The sequence below is a fragment of the Homo sapiens genome, chromosome 22, assembly GCF_000001405.40.
Source record: "Homo sapiens chromosome 22, GRCh38.p14 Primary Assembly".
NCBI classification, from domain to species: Eukaryota; Metazoa; Chordata; class Mammalia; order Primates; family Hominidae; genus Homo; species Homo sapiens.
In genome coordinates this window covers 16,901,932-16,923,529 of record NC_000022.11, presented here as the reverse complement: position 1 = coordinate 16,923,529, position 21,598 = coordinate 16,901,932, and the positions used below count along the sequence as shown (strand labels likewise).

Genomic DNA, 21,598 nt, shown 5'->3' with positions numbered 1-21,598 from the left:
CCAGGCCCAAGCCCAGAGCTGCTGTCACTACAAGTGCACCCACACTCCAGAGACTGGCCTGAGGCTGCTCCGGAAATTACCTAGGACATAACATAAAAAGAGAATGTACAGCAACACAGTAGAGTGAATTGCAGAGAATAACCACACAGAGAGCATCTCTGGGAGGTGGCACACCTGAGAGACCTGAGAAATTCTGCGAAATGTGTCAAGGGTAATGAAACACATTAGTCTATGAGATCAAAAAAATGGAAACTTATCCAGGATAAACATCAAGACATGCATCATTATACAGATTGTAGTTAAAATGCAGAATCACATACAAAGTGAAAATCTCAAATGTATCAAGAAAATACTGGTTTCTTATACCAGAGAAACAGTAATAAAACACTTGGTGAACTGTTCATGGGACCAATAGAGGCAGAAGACAGTGAGATTACATATTTACATACTGGGTGGAAGGGACTCACCCAAGGATTCAATATCGAGTGAAGATATGCTTCAAAAATAAAGGTAAAGTAAAAACACTTCTTTATGAACAAAATGAAGAGAAATGATTACTTGCAGATATATTCTATAAGATATTCAAGAGGAAACTTTTCAGAATCACAGGAAATGACAGCAGATGGTAATCTGAATGCACAGAAATAAATGAAGATTTCAGAAACAGTAAAGAAAAGAGGAAGAAGCAAGGAAAAAACAAAAAAGTGTTTCCTTCAATTTATATGAAATTCTAGGCCAGGGGAAACCAAGCTATTGTGATGAGTATCTGAATTCCAGTTACCTTGACTGAAATTGGGGAGCAGCTGTTGCCTGGGAAGGTGCATGAGGGATGAATCTGGAGAATTTGAAATATTCTAGAGATTCATTGGGATGGAGAACATACAGAAAACTTAGTTGCATATTTAACATTTCAGTTGTTTACTGGGCGTGTGTATTACCTCAAGATAAAAAACTGAAAAAGCCAATTCTGGACTCAAACAAATACAAAAAAAGAAAGAAGAATTATCAGTTACTTATGGAATCTCAACCTTAGTAAGGAGAAGTGAAAAGTGCCCCTGGGAAGTGCTAAGAAACAGGAAATCTAAGAGAGGAGACGAAAGGGTCAGGGAATTTATCCTACTCATGCAGCATAGATTTTATCTCTGTTGGTTTCCCTCCAAACAGAGAAGACATTTAAGGAACTTTTCTCACAAGAGAGGCCCCTTCACCCTTCCCTTGACTCTTTCCACTCCACTGCACCCACCAGGTGATTTACATGTTGTCCCTTAGGGAGGACCTTCCCTTGTGAGTCTGAGATAAAAGCTTAGCTCTAACCTTGCCTTGACTGATCGGGACTCCTCAGTTCACCTTCTCACAATGAGGCTCCCTGCTCAGCTCCTGGGGCTGCTAATGCTATGGGTCCCTGGTAAGGATAGAAATAAGATGAGGTGGGAAAATGGGGTGGGAGGGTGAGATCTGGGGGCTCCACAGCTTCCTATATTTATTTCAAACGTGTTAGAGGCACATGGTCTATGCTCCAGGAAAGAGAATTCATATTCTTGCCTTATGAATAACCAGGATTCTCCAAGGAACTATGACCAGTGCTCTGGTTAAGATCTTGAAAATAGAGTTTCGTACTGGCTAGTAAATTGTGCATTCATTTTAGAAAGTCTACTTTTGATGATATAAATCTAAACTTGAAAAAATACGTAACTGTAAATGAATATCATAAGGGAAATCATGAAAGTTGCTCATAGTGTGTCTATATAACCTTACACTTCTTTCATGTTATTTCAGGGTCCAGTGGGGATATTATGATGACCCAAACTCCACTCTCCCTGCTCGTCACCCCTGGATAGCTGGCCTCCATCTCCTTCTGCAGGTCTAGTCACAGCCTTGTATACAGGGGGGAATAAACCTATTTGGTACCTGCAGAAGCCAGGCCAGTCTCTACAGCTCCTGATCTATTTGGTTTTGAACCGGGCCTCTGCAGTCCCAGACAGGCTCAGTGGCAGTGGGTCAGGCACTGATTTCACACTGAAAATCAGCCGGGTGGAGGCTGAAGATGTTGGGGTTTATCACTGCATGCAAGCTCTACAAACTCCTCCCACAGTGGTACAGCCCCCAAAAGAAACCTCCCTCCTGTGGCATCCCAGCTGCTCACATGCACTGCTTGTCTGGGGAGCAGCTCAGCAGGGTCTCTGGGTCTGCAGAACAGGAGGTTCTTGGAGAATTCAGGGCAGAGTTTGCTGCTGAGGACTATGGCCCATGAGAGACTCAGTTGCACCTCAGTCCCACATGTTAAGGCTCCATCAGTTGTCACATGTGGCCACGTGCTCTGGGAACAACCAGCTCTAATGAAGGGAGAGCGAATGAAAACTCATCCTCATCCTCCCTCTCTTGCCCACATTTTTCGAGTCCATTTATTTGGCAGAACAATCAGATCATGGAAGCAGGTTAGTGGTAACTCAAGTGAAATACATGTTAGAAACGACTGGTTTGGGAATAGTTTTACACATGATAACATTTGGTCATGCTGGGAAATTGCTATCTTCCCACTTTCCAAACTTTCTGTCTCCTTCACCACTCACATGAACCTGCCCTCCCTAGTATTATGATGGAGAAAGCATTGTACACCAGCTGTCAGGGAAGTATGGCTCAGAATAAATAGATAACCTATTTGATTTTTTTTCCACTTACGGATTTTTAAAATCCATGTCAAATGTAAGATAATAATACCAAAATAGTTTGACATGCCTCAGTTACCTTTTGCTGACAGAAAAATGGAGGTCTTGCAATTCCAAAAGTGGACTTTGAAAATAAACAACACAATTCAGATGTAAAACATAAAGTTTATGTGATGTACCACAGGAAAAATGTAGAATTACATGCGATTTTTATTTCCTTCTCAAATTCTTAGAATTTTAAAATTATTTTACAGACATAGTATTTTAGAGAAGAAATATTTAGTTCTATGCTGTCATAAGAAAATGATTTAAAAAATGAAAAAATGCATTATTTTTACATGACACTATTTTTTCCTGAAAATGTATTTGAATCGTCTCTTTTAATAGATTTCATTGACAATAGTGCACTAAATTTATCTGCTTTTTTAATTTGAGGGCTGCAGTGTGATAAATATCTATATACATTTTGCCATGCAACTTTAAAACCTAACAGAAATGCTTTCTGTTACAAAAGCAATAGTGCTTTCTCCACCATAATGCTAGAGCGGGCAGTTTCATGTGAGTGGTAAATGAGAGAGAAAGTTTCCAAACTAGGAAGATGGCAATTTCCCAATATGACCAAGTGCTAACATGTAGAAAACTATTTCCAAACGAGTCATTTCTAACATGTATTTCACTTGTGTTGCCACTAGTCTGCATCCATGATCCGATTTTTCTGCCAAATCCATTTGTATGACTCCGAGTAATGAGTGATGTCTGTTACCTGTGATAATACGGTGCAGAGACACATAAGACTGATTGAATTAATAGAACAAGATCCCGATGCAGGCTAAGGGCTTAAATTATACTTGAGATGATTTATTTTAAGATAATGGATTCGGCCGGGCGCGGTGGCTCACGCCTGTAATCCCAGCACTTTGGGAGGCCGAGGCGGGTGGATCATGAGGTCAGGAGATCGAGACCATCCTGGCTAACAAGGTGAAACCCCGTCCCTACTAAAAATACAAAAAATTAGCCGGGCGCAGTGGCGGGCGCCTGTAGTCCCAGCTACTCAGGAGGCTGAGGCAGGAGAATGGCGTGAACCCGGGAAGCGGAGCTTGCAGTGAGCCGAGATTGCACCACTGCAGTCCGCAGTCCGGCCTGGGCGACAGAGCGAGACTCCGTCTCAAAAAAAAAAAAAAAAAAAGATAATGGATTCCGTAGTAAGTACAATTAAAATTCCAATGTGTCATTTCTGTTATGTTTAAAAGTTGCATGGCAAAATGTATATAGATATTTATCAGGTCATAGCCCAGGTGGCATCTGCAAACCCGGAAGAAGGTCTTTACCAGAAAGCGAACCCTGCTGGACATTGATCTGGGCACCAAAAATGTGAAACATGAAAATTAAATTCTGTGGTTTATGTCATCCAGATCAGTGTTTTTGGTGTGGCAGCGCAAGCTGACTATCCACCTTCCCCACCCTCTGTGAGCAGGAGCAGCCTTAGGAGGCCCTCATGGAGGCGGGGACCCAGCTTTGCTCCTCTTCCTCCTGCTTTTCCAACTCTCTGGTGAGGAGGGAGAACTCAGGCTTCATCTGCAGTTCCTGTGCATTAAACATGAATGTTTCCTTCAGGATGAAGTTTTTAGCCCATTTTGCTTTCTCATCAGAATTTAATCGGACATGAAAGTTAAGGATTATGAAATGGGCAGATCATCCTGTATTGACCAGATGGGCCCTGGTCCAGGTGGGTCAATAAAAAGGCTTTGTTAAAATGTCTGCCTATCTCTATCTTATAAGGACATCACGATTGTCCTTATAAGATAGATAGGCAGACATTTAACAAAGACTGCAGAAGAGAAGGTGATTTGAAGACAGAGACAGAGATTGAAGTGACGTGGACACAGAATGCTCAGGAAGGAAAGAGAATCATTGCTTCCCTTTCTGCAGTTTGTTGGTAGGTGAGGTGGGCCCTGCAGAAAGATTAGCAAGCACAGAGGAAAAACTCACCACTTATTCCCACAGCTGTGTATATAGTTTTATAGGATTTCTAAACATTTTTTCCAAGGAAAAGTAAAGAACAATAACTCAAATATTTGGAAACAGGGTCAGCTTAGACAGGTCTAGAACACGGTCTGAAGGTACAACATATGAACAACCCTGTTTCTTCCAGTGCCGGAGAGATGAATTCTCAGAAGCAGAAGATACACATTCATGAAGCCTTCATTCCCTGAGCTGTCTGTGTTCCAGAATATTTATCTGTGAATATATTCTCCAGTGAGTGACAATTTACAGTTAGTGAGATAATGCAGACAGCTTCAACCCCCGGTGCCTTGCAGCCAGGAATCCAGTCACAGGACCTGCAGCTTCACGAAGGGATGCTCAGTGGGTGGCTTGCATGCAAAGATAAACTCTCCCCTTTAACAAAAAGAACCTTCATTGTGCCCCAAGTGGGGAACAGGCCTCTGTGTTACTCAACCTCATCCATGGTAGTGTTGGTTTGGAAAATATGGACTAATGCCGTCTGTAGAACAAAGTCTACAGAATTAGAAACAGTGACATAGAAATGAGCTAAAGATGGCCTGTGGGTCCTGGCCCCCATGTTGTTTATTTCAAAACTGTGTTTACTTCTTTTTTTTTTGAGACGGAGTCTCACTCTGTCAACCAGGCTGGAGTGCAATGGCGTGATCTTGGCTCAATGCAACCTCCGCCTCACGGGTTCAAGCAATTCTCCTGCCTCAGCCTCCCGAGTAGCTGGGACTACAGGCACGTGCCACCATGCCAAGCTAATTTTTGTATTTTTAGTAGAGACGCGGTTTCACCATGTTGGTCAGGCTGGTCTCCAACTCCTGACCTTGTGATCCGCACACCTTGGCCTCCCAAAGTGCTGGGATTACAGGCGTGAGCCACCGGGCCCGGCCAAAACTGTGTTTACTTCCTAATGGCCTGTTCCAAACTCAAATTTTACAATGCAATTATTTTAACAACAGCCCAAAGAAGAATACTTTTAGCCTTTTAGAAAATACTTACTTTGCATGTCCAGAAAATTTCAACCACATCTACTCGCAGTAAGATAAACCCCAGTTATGAAAACCTTAAACCAGAAACTCCCCACTGTGCTGCTGTGAGGCGTCCCCTAGACACACAGCCCCTTGTCCAGTGTCCCATCGTTTCGAGAAGCAAGCCTGGCAGCTTATTCTCTGCACAGATTCCTGCTGGGAGGGGCTTCTCTCTGCAAACCTGACAAAACGTCACCCAATAAAGTCATGTGTGCGACTGCCCCCCTGTGGCCATCTCTTTTTCCTTGATGAGCCCGCAAGTCATTCCAATCCCGTACAAATCGGATCACAGTGTCCACCCCAAACACTGACTCCAGGGTCATGAACACAAACAGTTCCACTTCTAAGACTCTTGCCAAGTCTTACGAATAATGCAGTTGCTCCCAGTTTTATGGACCCCAAACTAACCGCATCAGGAAAAGGAGACACAGCCATAATAAACCCCACCTGTATAAGTCCTCCCTCATTCAGGTGACCATGGTTCATGTTAGAGACACTCAGAGGCAGAGGCCTGCCGCACACCTAGATCCGAATGGAGGTGGTTGTGACACCTTCTGATCTGTGTCCACTGTGGAGTGACCAGCTTTGTCTGCTGTTGTGAAAGCCTTGGCATAATGTGTCAACAGATAAGAAAGGGAGGTTTCTAATCAGAATTAGTAATATTATCCTTTAAGTCTATAGGTAATAAAGAGTAATTTCAAAGCTCTTTTCTGACTAAAAAAGATTTCTACAAAATTTCACAATTTATATTTATGTACAGCAACAGATCATGAGATTTTTAAAAATCACAATGGTAACCTTCTTAACGATGTATTACTAAGTTTCATAGGAAATAGCAAGACTATCTTAAATTCAAGCTTCTTAAGGAATACTTTGCAAAAACAACATTTTCAAGAATTGACCTTTAGTAAAAGAAAACCTGACAAATTTTTTTATTGTTAGTCACTTCCCTGCAATTCAAGTTTGTTTTTAATTATAGATAGAACTGATTCCTCATTTAATACCCTTTCAGAATAATTATTTAAAACTTACAATATGATGCACCATCTCGTTCTACTTTAGTTAGGCTGATTGTGTTTTCTTTTTCTTTTCCTTCAGCCTCTGATGTTTCTATTGTTCACTAGTATGATTATTTAGGAGTCTCACTTTTTGAAGAATAAGAAGCAGGTTTGAATTGGTTAATAACATAAGAAAAAGTCAAGTGCACAAAAGTTACGAAATTTAATGAGAAAAGAGTAAATAAAATTGACATAGTTTTCTACAGTTTACTGTGAGCCTTTAATCAAATTTCTTAAGCACAATTTGATCTCCTTAACCCCCATTATTGCAATGGTGTTAAACATTGAAAGGTCTATAATATTATTTTTATTCAATTATCTTTTCCAATCTTGGAAAAAAGGTTATTTTGGTAGATTTCTCAGAAGATATTGAAACCAAGCTTTCTTCTGGAATCTTACCTAGAATTTCATGTATTTGTGTTCTTGGGCAATTAAATATAAATTTTTGTTAAATTACCCAAGATTACATAGCACTACAAGCTAGTCTTTCAGTTGTAGCTGAATTTTTTTTTCCCAGAAATGTGACTGTCTTTGTGATAGTGTTTGGTGTTGGCAGAATTATTCAGGAGCTGTTCAATTAAATACTAAGCACACCACGAACAAATCAAGAAACATGAGATTGTTTCCCTTTGTAATGATCAGCTGTGTGAAAGACTCACACCCCTGAACCATGTGCATCTTTACATGAAACCATGAAAATGTCAGTTACAGGTCCAGGTTACCCTGAGACATAAAACTGTAGATGCAGTCCTTGCTCTTCTCACATAGACAATTTCCTTTTCAACTGCAGACTCATGGCTGTGGCTGCACCACATCCAGGCTGGGGGTGACTCAGGTCTCACTCAGGGTTGGCCATAACCTGGAAGCCCTCACAGGACCTGATGCCACATGACCAGGGAGGCTGTGTGAGAAGAGTTTTCGTAAGCACCACTCAGAAAAACATCATGCAATGTTATTTCTTATTTGCTTTGTATCATTAACCAAGGAAATTCTTCCCTATGAGATCCTGCTGGTTAATCTTGTATATGTGAGATGATTATGATGCGATTATCCCAGATTGAACAGTTGGTCACCAGGAATTTTGTATTCACTGCCTGAGGTGTAACATTCTTGCCCCATTGCCTCTTACTTATGCTGGGCTCTTGGCTCTAAATGTAGAGACCCACATCATTCTCCCTGTGAGGCCCTTGGACGGAGCGCTTTTTTGGGGCTCACTCATCAGGTGCCAGGGACGGGGAGATTCTAACACTTGCACTGAATAATATTGAACAGTTATCCTGGAAACAGCACATACGAGGCAACACTTGAACTGGCTCAGGAGCACTTTTCATTTGCAGGCCCTCTGCCCGTCTGTGCTTGTGGGAATGGGGCTGTTTTCTTTCTCTAGATTGATTGGGAGGGAGGCCTGCAGGATGGCATTCACCTCCCAAAGATGCATCCTAGAAACACATTTCCACGTTGTCAGGGTCCTTGTGCGTTCTCAGTGTGGCATGCACTGCACAATGTGTCCCTGCCCAAGGTCCCAACTTCCACAGTCAGAGCCTTCTTCCCTTGACCACAGGCAAACTTGACTTGAACTACATTTGTTTGGCTCCAGCAAACATTTTATGTCACATTGTTCACAGAAGAGACATTCCCCCTGCCCCATCAACCTTTTCCACACCACTGCACCCACCAGGTGATTTGCATGTTGTCCCTTAGGGAGGACCTTCCCTTGTGAGTCTGAGATAAAAGCTCAGCTCTAACCTTGCCTTGACTGATCAGGACTCCTCAGTTCACCTTCTCACAATGAGGCTCCCTGCTCAGCTCCTGGGGCTGCTAATGCTCTGGGTCTCTGGTAAGGATAGGATCAAAAGTGAGGTGAGAAAATGGGGTGGGAGGGTGAGATCTGGGGTCTCCACAGCTTCCTATTTTTATTTCAACCATGTGTTACGGGCACATGGTCTGTGCTCCGGGAAAGATTACTCGTATTTTTTGTCTCAGGAATAGTCAGGAATCATCTCCCAGGAAAAATGACCAGTGCTCTGATTAAGCTCTTGAAAATAAACTGCTCCCTGCTGGCTAGTAACAAATTGGTTCATTTTAGAAAGTCTACTTTTCATGATAAAAATCAAAACTTGAAAAAATATGTAACTCTAAATCAAAATCTTAAGGAAAATCATGAAAGTTGCTCAAAATGTGTTTATATAACCTTGCACTTCTCTGTTATTATTTCAGGATCCAGTGGGGACATTGTGATGACCCAGACTCCACTCTCCCTGCCTGTCACTCCTGGAGAGCCAGCCTCCATCTCCTGCAGATCTAGTGAGAGCCTCTTGGATACTGATGATGAATACACCTATTTGAATTGGTACCTGCAGAAGCCAGGCCAGTCTCCACAGCTCCTGATCTATGAGGTTTCCAACCGGGCCTCTGGAGTTCCAGACAGGTTCAGTGGCAGTGGGTCAGGCACTGATTTCACTCTGAAAATCAGTAGGGTGGAGGCTTAGGATGTTGGGGTTTATTACTGCATGCAAGCTCTACAAACTCCGCCCACAGTGCTACATCCTCGAACAGAAACCTCCCTGCTGGGTTGACCCAGCTGCCCGCATGGGCTGCTTGTCTGAGGGAACAGCTGAGCAGAGTCTTTGAGTCTGCAGAGGAGAAGGCTGTTGGGGATGTCAGGGCAAGGTTTGCTGCTGAGGACGCTGGTCCATGACAGCCTCAGTAGCACCTCAGATTTCATATGTTAAGGCCCCACCAGCAGTCACAGCCTGGGGAAGGCATCAGGAGGAGGAGAATTCATGGGGGCTACGTGCCCTGGGAGCAACCAGCTATGATGAAGGGAGAGTGAATGAAAGCTCACATCCTCACCCTCCCTGTCTTGCCCACATTTGTCAAGTTCATGTAACTGTCAGAATAACCAGACCATGGATGCAGTTTAGTGACAACACAAGTAGAACACATATGGGAAATGACCATCTTGGGGTTTATTTCACACGCGATGACACTTAGTCATATTGGGAAATTCATACTCTCCCATCTTCCTAATTCTGCTCTCTGACTCCCACCAAACCGTCTCTCCAGTGTCTTACAGGTAGAAGCATTCTACACAAGCTGTGTGCAGGGGAGTACAGCTAACACTTAGAAAAAATGTTTGATGTTGGATTATTCAAATAGACTTTGTAAACTCATGGCAGGTATGAGATCTTAATGTTAAAAGATTGATTACTCTTAATTATTATTTGCCAAGTGAAAGCAGAGTTTTCACAATTCCAAAAGTGGCCTTTGAAAATAAACTGCAGGAACTCAAAGATGGAAAATATAAAGTTTATTTCAAGTAAAAAAGGGAACATTCAGAATTATGTGAGATTTTTATTTCTTTTCCAAATTCTAAAGGTTTTGAAAGTATTTAGGCTAAGTTCTATTTTAGAGTAGAAATGTATTACTATGTTTTCAAAAGAAAAGGTTTCAAAAAATACAGAAATGCATTCTTTTCACATGATTATATCATTACCTGAAAATGAATCTGAATTCAATGTTTTAGTTGTAAATGCCTGGAGCATCTATGCTTTTCATAGATTTTATTAAATATAGTGTTCTAAATGATATTGAACCCAATAATGAGTCACATGAGGTACATATAATTACACTGTGTGATAGACACAAAATAATGACAGAATCAACAGAAGAAGTTCTGCTTCAGGCTAAGGGTAGAAAGTACACTAGGATGATTGTTTATTCCAATATAACAAATTTCATGGTAAGTGCAATTAAAATTCCAAAGTTCCACTTCTGTTACGTTTAAAAATTGTATGGCAATATTTTTATAGATATCAATCACACTGGAGCCTGCAAATGAAAAAAAAAAGTGACACCATATATTTTTAAAATACTGATAAATGAATCGTTGATCTCAAGAGTCATTATACAGAATTCAGTTAAGGAATACAAAGTGTATCGGGGCGTGGTGGCTCATGCCTGTAATCCCAACACTTTGGGAGGTCAAGATGGGCTAATACCCTGAGATCAGGAGTTCAAGACCAGCCTGGCCAACATGGTGAAACCCTGTCTCTACTAAAAATACAAAAATTAGCCAGGTGTGGTGGCATGTGCCTGTGATTCCAGCTACTCGGGAGGCTGAGGCAGGAGAATCACTTGAACCTGGGAGGTGGAGGTTGCAGTGAGCTGAGATTGTGCCAGTGCACTCCAGCCTGGTTAACAGGGCAAGTCTCTGTCAAAAAAAAAAAAAAAAAAAAATGTAAGTAGTATGACCCCGAGCTAAGCAATGATGTCGTCATCTTTAGCCCTCATGTAATTGATAGCCTCTAGCAACCTTGAATTTCTGCTTTGCTGTGAGACACAAGATTAGTCCCAACCCATTCAAGATGGTTAGATATCTTAAACAAACAAACAAACAAACAAACAACTTATATAATGCTGATGTAACAAAGGGCTACACACTCTCAAAACAAAATGGTGAAAGGTGAACCATCCCCTGAACCTGAGAGAAGATACAAGCAGAATCAAAAGTGGCTGCTACAAAGAAGCTTCTAGTTACACTTGACCAAATGTGACAAGGTTTCTGTGTCTGTGCCATGGCAGTGGAGAGGCAGGTGGGTGGCCTTGGTGGTGTCGTTGGCTCTGTTCCATGAGGTCACTCAGGTCCGCAGGAGGCACGACCACCCTTAGTGCACAGCTTTCCTCCTTCCTCACAGTCACAGCCCCCATGGCCATCCTCAGAAGCGTGAGTGGAACAGAGTGAAGGGAAAGCTGTTTTCTTCTAAAGCTCAAAAATCTTGAACTTTCAAATAGGGATAAGTGTTATTTTTGCTCCAAGCACACATTTGAGAAATCTTCCATTTAGCGGATCTGATGATAAACCCACATTTTTTGTTTGTTTTAATCTGAAAATGTATTTGTATGGTTCTTGGAAATATTTTTTTGCATATAAAATTATATTTTATCAGCTTATTTCAAGTTTTATTTACCATTTGATAATTACTCCTAAAATGTCATTGATTAAAGAAAGAATCATCTATTGCTCCAACTGTTCTTTACTAAAGGTAATTTGTCTTTTTAACCTCATCAGGCTCCTTTTAAGCTCTCAAACTGACCTTATTTTTTTTTTTACAGATTCAATGCATTAAGTCAATCTATTATTTATGATGAATTTATTTATGTATTTATTTTCGCTATCACAAGTAGAAAAAGCCTATAAGTTGCTATGCCAAAAACCTGCCTCTAGATGGCAAACAAACCCCACAATACACAAAAGAGAGCCAAATTCTTAGAAACCCTGGGAAAGGAAGAGGGCTACTGTCCCATTAACCACTTGGAGCCCTTAAGGCTAGAATGAGGTGGAACATCTGGAACATCTGGGAGGAGACACCAGGGTGCGGAGTAGTGGGGAACCTGCTCTGTGCTCTGAGACTGAAAGCCCAGCCTTGCCTCTCACCGCTGCCTGGACTGTGTCCCCATCTGCTGTGAAGTGAATGGTGTCTTCTAAATTCATGCTGAGCCCTAATTGCTGAAAAGTGTAAGACATGCAATGGGGGGATTATGTGCATCTTCCCGACACCAACATGATGCTCAGGAAGGAGACTACTTGTTTTCTCTTAGGATTCTTTTACTAACCAAGATTTTGCCTCTACTGCATATTTCCCTTTGCTGATTGTCCCTCCCTTTTGACAGAAGATGGCCCAGGGGATTCACTACTAAGTCTCAACCTCTTACCCAAAGCCCTCAGTCTAGTGCTGCTCTTTCCTTCATGCTATTTTTGTTTGTTTCTTTTCTTGTAATCATCTTGGCAATAAAATAATCACTTTTTTCTTTCTACCTATTAAAGATGTTACCTTAGTTAATTACAGTGGTTTCCTTCAGAATGATAAATGGTCTTTCAAAGTGATGTAAAGAGATCTAAATCCGTGTGCTCCAGAAGTTGAATGAAGCTCTGCCTAGCACGGGTGCCAGTGACTCTCCCAGAGTGCTCCATGCAGCTGGCCCCACAGAGTCCCTCTGTGCTGTCATATCACCCACTGCCTTCTGTGAATGAGATATTCTGATTGGAATCCTGGTGGATGCTATTTGAGCCAGTGCCCCCACAACTCCTGTGAAAGCCGAGGACCACAGGCCCCTGAAGACAATCACAGGTCTCTAGACTCACAGCTCATGACCGTCCTCTGCAGACACAGCTTCTCCCCGGATGGCTGAGGGTTGTCATTGGCTGTGTCCTTCCTTGTGCATGACAACAGGAGACATAGAAGGTCTGTAAGCAGCCCTGCAAGCCAGGTTCCGAGCAAGCTCTCCTGTGTGGGGCCCTCTTACCTGGACATAGGTGTGTAAACCAAAAATGAAACTCTAAGCTCCCTAACCAACTGAATGAACTCCTCCTCTCAGCCAAGGACACACCAAAATCAACCTGAAATACAATGCAGTCCATGATCAGAACGGATGATTGGATATGCCTTAACTTACCCTCTTCCCTTTAAAATTCAGGCACAACTGACCAGCTTTTAATATGAAGACAGAGACCTTGAGACTGACAAACAAAACTCTTTATAGCAATAAGATACCAATGTGACAGATACCACATCCTAAGAGAAATCAAAGTATTTTCCCCAAGATATTGTTATTTAATGTATTTAAAAATGCCTCTGCAAAGCTGGTTCTTGTGGGAAAAATCTACATTCTGTAGAGATTCCTTTTTAAGTCTCTTTCCTGACCCAGAGAGATTTAACTAAGAGTTTGGCACCTTTTAAGTCTACTAAGAAACAATTACAATCTATTCTCTCTGAAGCCTGCTACCTGGAGGCTTCATCTGCATGATGCAACCTTGGCTCCAAAACCCTTTTCCTAAACCCAGAAACTCCCTTGTGTTGATTACAGGTCATTAGATAAACTCTTTCAACCACCTATGAAATCTTTGAATCCACCTATGACCTGGAAGTCCCCAACATCCCCCCTCCTTCGGGCTGTCCTGCCTTTCCATATCAAAGCAATGTACAGCTTACACGTATTGATTGATATCTTATGTCTCCCTAAAATGTGTAAAACCAACCTGTAGCCCGACGACCTTTGACACGTGTTCTCAAGACCTCCTGAGGCTGTTTCACTGATATTTCTGTAACTTTGACCAAATAAATTTCTAAACTGATTGAGACTTTTCTCAGATACTTATTTGTTTATAGGTATCACTGGATACACTTAAGGAATTGAAGAGATTTATGACATTGAGAAAAGGAGGAAGCCAGGGTGTGTGGAGAGAGAGAGAGAGAGAGAGAGGGAGAGAGAGAGAGAGAGAGGGAGAGAGAGAGAGAGAGAGAGAGAGAGATTGTGATGTATGTACAGGACTAACACTGAGACCTGGTTATGTAATGGTGTAGTACTGAGTATCATCCCCAAATAGTGAGGTTTCATTCCAAGAAGACTATGCATGTGTCTCATTTGGGAAAACAGCTTTTGCAGGTGTAAATTAAGGAGCTTGAAACAGGGAGATGGTCTTAGATTAATCAACTGGGACTTAAATGCAAACTCAAGTGTCCTAAAAAAAAACAAGAGGTAGAGACACATTTAGCATAGACTGAAGTGGAGATGGCAATGTGAACACAGAGACAGAGATTGCAGTGATGTGTCCACATCCCGGGAGAGAGAAGCCACCAGAAGCTGGAAGAGCTAAATCAGACTGCTCCCTAGAGCTTCAGAAGGAGCCAGAACTGATGACTCCAAGATCTTAGCCCAGTGAAACTGATCTGGATTTCTGAACTGTGAGAGATTCCATTCCTGTTGTTTGAAGCTACCACATTTTTGAGAACTTGTTACAGTAGCCCGAGGACACTAACACAAATGGGGCTCCGGGAAAATCCAGACTAAAGGTGCTGTGTTGGTTTGCAATCTCCTTGCTTAACTTTCTGATACTAGACATAAATATGTTGGTGAAAAATTTTGTGATTGAAGAGATGTACATGAAACCTACAGCTTACAGAGAAGCATCTGTTAGTTATAAGATAAATATTGATAATTTTAGTTGAAAATGACATATGACTCTTAATATCTCACATAACATTCTGAGTTACGCAAGAATGCATAAAAGGGGCACTAGATACTCTTCTCATGTATGTGTGTGTGTCTCTCTATACATGTATGTACACTTCATGGTGCATCAGCTGGTGGAACCCTCAGGACACCCCTTCACATCCTCAGTGCCCCATTTCACACATGAGGAAACTGTTCATGACAGCACATGGCTGATTTGCATAAAAGTCACTTGGTCAGCAGTTGTTGAAGCTGAACTTGGAATCTAGGTCTGTCTGACCTTAACTATGTCCCTTCCACAGAGCCACGTTCATTCCATAGAGGAACCCACCACCTATAAAAACCAGGAAAGAGACAAAGCCAGAAGTGCAGGGTGGATTTCTTAACACAAGCTCACTGCGACCTCTAGTCCTCATCATGCTGACACTAAGCTTAAACCCAGACCCTTCTACAGTTTTGTCTACAAAGCACAATTTGCCCAAAGCCGTTACAAACACCAACAGCCTTTCTTTCAGATATGGCAGCAGGGTCACATTTTACACGGCCCTGACCACATTTTATCTCCTCTGCCATCCCCATCTCTCTGACTCAGTCCTCGCTTGCAGCCATAAAAAAGGATGAGTTCATGTCCTTTGTAGGGACATGGATGAAGCCGGAAACCATCATTCTCAGCAAACTATCGCAAGGACAAAAAACCAATCACTGCATGTTCTCACTCATAGGTGGGAATTGAACAATGAGAACACATGGACTCAGGAAGGGGAACATGACACACCGGGGACTGTTGTGGGGTGTGGGGAGGGGGGAGGGTTAGCATTAGGAGATACGCCTAATGTAAATGACGAGTTAATGGGTGCAGCACACCAACATGGCACATGTATACATATGTAACAAACCTGCACGTTCTGCACATGTACCCTAGAACTTAAAGAACAATAATAATAATAATAAAAAGAATGGGTCTTGTACATCTAATTTGCCCTACAAATGTTAAAACAGCAAACCCGCGTCCCCTTCCTCTTCTCATGTGCTGTGAGGGATGACCTCCAGGCTCTCAGTTACCAAGGTTGTACAAGACCTAACCCAGAGAATTACTCAAGACACTTTCTACGTAAGAAGAATTGTGGTGCTAGCTCTCCTCATAGAAAAATGTTGTCTGTCTCTTCTTGAAATTGACAGCAAACACAACAACACAGAACTATTTGGGAGAACAGAGGACAGTGATACACTAGGGAAGTAAAGCACACCCCTTCCCCTTGCATTGGTTTCCTGTTGCTGCTGTAACAAATTACCACAACCTTACTGCTCCACATAACACAAGTGTATTGTCTTACATTTCTGGAGGTCAGAAGTCTCAGTGAAGTAAAATCAAGGAGTAATAGGGCTCTATTCAGTCTAGGCTTCAAGAGAGAGAATCCAATGTCGAGCATTCCATCTTTCTGATGTTCCCACATTCCCAGCAGCATGGCCCTTCCTCCATCACTCCAGTTTCCCCGTCCGTTGTCCCAGGTCCTCTCTGGCTGTCACCTTCCTCCCTCCCTGTTGTAAGGACCCTTGTGATTATGATGGTCTCACCCAGATAATTCAGGATACTCTCCTGACCCCCAAATTCTCAACCATGTCTGCCAAGTTATTTTTGACATATTCATAAATAATGATCATAGATTCCAGATACTAGGACAATGATGTCTTTAGTGGGTGTATTATTCATTCCACAAACAGCCCTCATCATCCACACCATGGTCTTCCCCTAAGGTAGAATAAAAATATCACAAGGCAGATTTATGAGGCGATGGACCTAGAAAAAACCTGAGACTCTAGGACTGTCTGATGTGTGGATGTCAAATCCTGGGAGATTCTGAGTCTCTGCTCTATGTGGACTCTATGCTGTGTAAACATTTGTGGAAGGCTTCTGTGATTTTGTGACCTAGAGAAAATGAATCTCTGCTAAAATCAAATCTAAGAAAGATCGGCAAAGGGAATTGAAAGATTTCCTAAAGTTTTGGAATTTCCCTATGCATTAAAACATGAGAAGTGGCAATAATTCAAACCAACGATGCCCTCCAAGAATGAGGATTTTTCCAATGCATTAGGTTGGGTCCCCTCAGTGAGAAGAATGCCAAAGATTCGCATGCAGGCAGTATATTTACAAAGTGCCAGAAACAAGCAAGTGAGCAAGGGAGGGGAGGAGGGAAAGGGAAAGTGAAAGGTGCCTCAGAAGGAGCCACCTCTGAGGATGACGAGAGCTCAAGCCCACATAGAAACACAGGAAAAATGCCTCTGTTATTCCACCTGAGAGGTGAGGGAGCTGGGGGATGTGTACGCCTCCCTTGTCATCACTGATTGACAGCCGTCCTAGGGGATGCTAATTCCAGGCCATGAGGTCTGCCTCATTTGCAGCCTGAGCTGCTTCCCCAGGTTCAGATAGAGCAGTGAAGGGGAGAAAGGGCCATAGAGAGTGAGCTGAAGTATAATGACTAGAATCCCCAAGGCGTAGTAACAATGACTGCAAAAATTATGCACAAAGAAAAAGCGCATTTGAATCCAGAGATGTATCTCTCTGAATCTGGATATATGGATCCTGGCAGCCTGTTCAGTAGCCATTTCCCAGAAATCCAGTCCTCTGGAAAAGCAGCAGGAGGTTTGTGCACAGGCTGCACTACCTTGGTCTGGCCACTGGTAGTCGTGCATGAGAACTACTCCCTGGAGTATTTCTCAGTCCACTGACACTGATATAATTGGCTCCACTTCCCCTGCTGTTGAGCCAGGCCGACACGCCCTGGGCAAAGGCATCTGTGTGAAGTATTGAGGTTCAAATCAGTGCTTAAGATATGTTTGGAGGCAAAATACTTTTTCATCTACATGGGCAGTGTCTTGGCAGAAGATGGAGATTCTCTCTAAATGGATGTGAGACAGGGTGGCTGGCATCTGGGTCAGGATGATGCCCTGGTGCATGGCAAGAACATGCATTGGGCAGCAGCTGCCCTCGCTAAGGAGAGAGGTTCACTGACCTGGCTTTTCCCCCCTCACCTGCTCTCCAGAAAGCCAGACTCTAGGGCAGATGCTCCTGAGACCCCAGGAACAGGCTGGTGGGGAGCGCAGCTCAGAGCATTACTCAGGGCATGTGGCCTTTGTCATCCTACTTTGAAGCAATTGACTATTTGAGCCTAGATTGATACAGGGCTTCAAGTTGATTTTAATCCAGGCTCCTATAGTCAGCGAGTGAAACAGAGATTTTAGTTGAAATAATGAGACCTGGTATTACTAGTCAGCTCTCCATGCTGGAGAACCATAAGAAATTATACCAAAGGCAGGAAAGGGGATAGAATATGGGGATCATCACGCCAAGAATAAGGTGCAGCCCATTTAGCCCCTGGGTCTTAAAGAGACCCATAGCTCTGGATAATGGCAGATCTATGTGTGACACAGTTATCATCTTTGTGCATCTTCAGAGAATTGTTTTTCCTTTTACTCCTAGGAACAATGTCTTAAGTTTGTTAGTAAATTCTATTGAATTTATTAAAGATGCTTCTGATAAATTCTTTTTATATCATTTCAAAAAAGAAGCAACTTCACACTGACAGAGACATTGTTATTATAACACTAAATACTTTTACACTCATCAAATTCCTTTGAGACTAACTGAAATTTCTGACAGCCCCACATTCTACAACTTTATTGTAATTTCTTGTAAATTTTCTGCCAAAAATGATGCTTTCCTATGCACTCCTAATACAAGTATAAATATATTATTTAACCTAGTCTTAGGTTGATTTAAAATTTTGAAAATTCACTCCAAAAATATGTTCTGTAACCGTATGGCCACTAATGAGAAGTGTATTCTTTCAAGGTAAATTGGTGCTGCCCTGGTCTGACCTGGGACTCTGGGGATACTGCGTCCCTGTGCTGAGTTACTGAGATGAGCCAGCCCTGCAGCTGTGCTCAGCCTGCCCCATCCCCTGCTGATTTGCCTGTTCCTAGAGCACAGCCCCCTGCCCTGAAGACTTTTTATAGGCTGGTCACACCCGGTGCAGGAGTCAGCCCCAGTCAGGACACAGCACGGATGCAAGGTCCCCCACTCAGCTCCTGGGGCTCCTGGTGCTCTGGTTGCCAGGTAAGGAAGGAGAACACTAGGATTATACTCGGTCAGTGTGCTCAGTACTGTCTGGAACCTCAGGGAAGTCCTCTGATAACATGATTAATTGCAAGAATATTTGTTTTTATGTTTCCAACTGCAGGTGCCAGATGTGACATCCAGATGACCCAGTCTCCATCCTCCCTGTCTGCATCTGTAGGAGACAGAGTCACCATCACTTGCCGGGCGAGTCAGGGCATTAGCAATAATTTAAATTGGTATCAGCAGAAACCAGGGAAAACTCCTAAGCTCCTGATCTATGCTGCATCCAGTCTGCAAAGTGGGATTCCCTCTCAGTTCAGTGACAGTGGATCTGGGACAGATTAGACTCTCACCATCAGCAGCCTGCAGCCTGAAGATTTTACAACTTATTACTGTCAACAGAGTTACAGTACCCCTCCCACAGTGTTGCAAGTCATAACATAAACCCCAAGGAAGCAGATGTGTGAGGCTGGGCTGCCCCAATGCTCCTTCTGGTGCCTCTATCTGCTGAGGGAAGTTCTCAAACTCAGTCAGGCTTGGAAAGTCATTGGGAGATTTTCCTAGAGGAGGCCAGGGAGGTTCCTCTGAACCCTAAGCCTCTTTCGCCCTCATCCCCAGCAGACAAGATGTGACAATGCCTGTCCTGACTGAATAAAGAAGAGAGATAAGTCCTGCTGAGGAGTCTGTGTTATGGGATAATCGGAATTTGTACAGCAAAAGAGAAGCTATTCTCAGTATTTCAAGGAGAAATTATTCAAGTTGAATAAATTAGAGTCTAAACCACAGTCTTTCCGAAGCCTATGGAGTGTTATTCATGAAGCAGGTACTAGACACAGGGGATTCTCAGGTGCTACTTCAGAAGCCAGGGTGCACCTGCCCCTGGTGGTATGTGCTGAACACCATGTGATGATCCTCAGTCCTGTCTGGGAAGCCCAGGGCTGGGGGTGCTGATGCTCTCAGCTGCCTGCAGCACATCTCCAGGTGATTCTCCACTCCACACCTAACTGCATGTGTTTTACTTCAGGTGTCAGTGTACATGAATCTACCACTCTGACTTCCAATTTCATGACAGTAATTAGTTGTAACTTATTGTAACCTCATGGAGCAACTCTAAAGAAACCATAGAGAGAAAAGGAGTTTTGGAAAATGTGCTCCCAGAAGTGATAGTAATGATGGGGAATTGACAGCTGACGGGGAAGTAAGGTGACTCTTTCCACAAGGCTCAACATTTTGCCAGTTATGAATTGTTGCAAAATATATCTGAATGTGCTTTCAAGTATTACCAGTTTGGAGTCATAGCTGAAAAACTTTATTAAGTCACAGATAAAATGGGAAAATCAGGAAATGGTATGAAATATACAATAACACTGTGTGTGATGGCTCAGGTCTGTAATCCTGTGATAGTTAATACTGATTGTCAACTTGATTACATTGAAGGATGTAAGCATTGCTCCTGGGTGTGTCTGTGAGGGTGTTGCCAAAGGAGATTAATATTTGAGTCAGTAGTCTGGGGAAGGCAGACCCCCTACTTAATCTATGGGCACCATTTAATCAGCTGCCAGTGAATATAAAGCAGGCAGAAAAAAGTGAAAAAGTGAGTCTGGCCCAGCCCCCCAGCCTACATCTCTCTCCCGTGCTGGATGCTTCCTACCCTTGAACATCGGACTCCAAGTTCTTTAGTTTTGAGACTCGAGCTGGCTCTCCTTACTCCTCACTCCTCATGCCTGCAGACAGCCTACTGTGGGATCTTGTGATCCTGTAAGTTAATATGTAATAAACCCATATATATATATATATATATAGAACTTATTAGTTCTGTCCCTCTAGAGAACCCTCACTAATACAGATTTTGGTACCAGGAATGGTTCTGCAGGAACAGAATATTAAGTTTGGAGTTCTTTTGTTTGTTTTGGGGTTTCTGGATTTGGCTGCTAAATATGATTAGATCCCAAAATGCTAAGGACTCTACTTTTAATAGTGTAGAGAACATTGACAGTTCTTGGCATGAAAGGTTTAAAGAGCTATGCAAAACAAATTCATTTGACACTAATGAATCATCGCTCATGAGAGGCAAGGAGTTTAGTGACTCTGTACCTAATACCCTTGACAAACACCTTGCAAAATAGATTTGTGAGGACAGCACCTGCATCTTTGAAGAGCCCTGTAAAGGCTCTTCTCTGTATGTCAGATCTAATGGTGAGGACTGCAGTCACTCAGTTACAAAAGTTAAATACAATTTGGAATAATTGGATCCTGAAGTGGCAGGTACCAAGTGGTAGCACTCAACCCTCAAAGGCACGGTGGGCATAGCTACCGTAATGGGCAGAAAAGACAAAGCAGCATTCTGAACAGTCTGACTCATGTGGAGCTCTGGCATTGGCTAACTAATCACAGTGTTCCTAGAAGTGAAACTGTCAGGAAGACTAATGCATTCCTACTTAATTTATGTAAGGAGGAAACTTAAGGTCAAACAGATAAAAGACTAATTGGCATTATAAAAACAGAGATTCATGGCCCCTCAATCAATTTCCAGCCTTGAGCCAGTTTACAGACCCAGAACCCCTTGAATGAAGGGGAGGCTGGGTCTCCCCGAGGTGTCCATGGCAGATAGGAATGCTGCTTTGAGGCTTTGGCAGGCCTCCATAGGTGAATCATGGTGGAGGCCTCTAGTATTTTGCAGCAAGGCCCGGTCATCTTCTCCAGTTA

General features: G+C 42.7%; 2 pseudogenes, besides 1 other annotated feature; both read left to right on the top strand.

Annotated features, from left to right (window-relative positions):
• Window positions 1,593–2,206, top strand: IGKV2OR22-3 (immunoglobulin kappa variable 2/OR22-3 (pseudogene); annotated as a pseudogene).
• Window positions 5,823–5,872: a silencer, noted in NCBI's record as "silent region_13426". NCBI's record gives its function as "represses an Ori minimal core promoter by ATAC-STARR-seq in GM12878 lymphoblastoid cells {active_cell/tissue: GM12878}" and the evidence as "EXISTENCE:reporter gene assay evidence [ECO:0000049][PMID:35858748]".
• On the top strand, window positions 8,353–9,466 carry IGKV2OR22-4 (immunoglobulin kappa variable 2/OR22-4 (pseudogene); annotated as a pseudogene).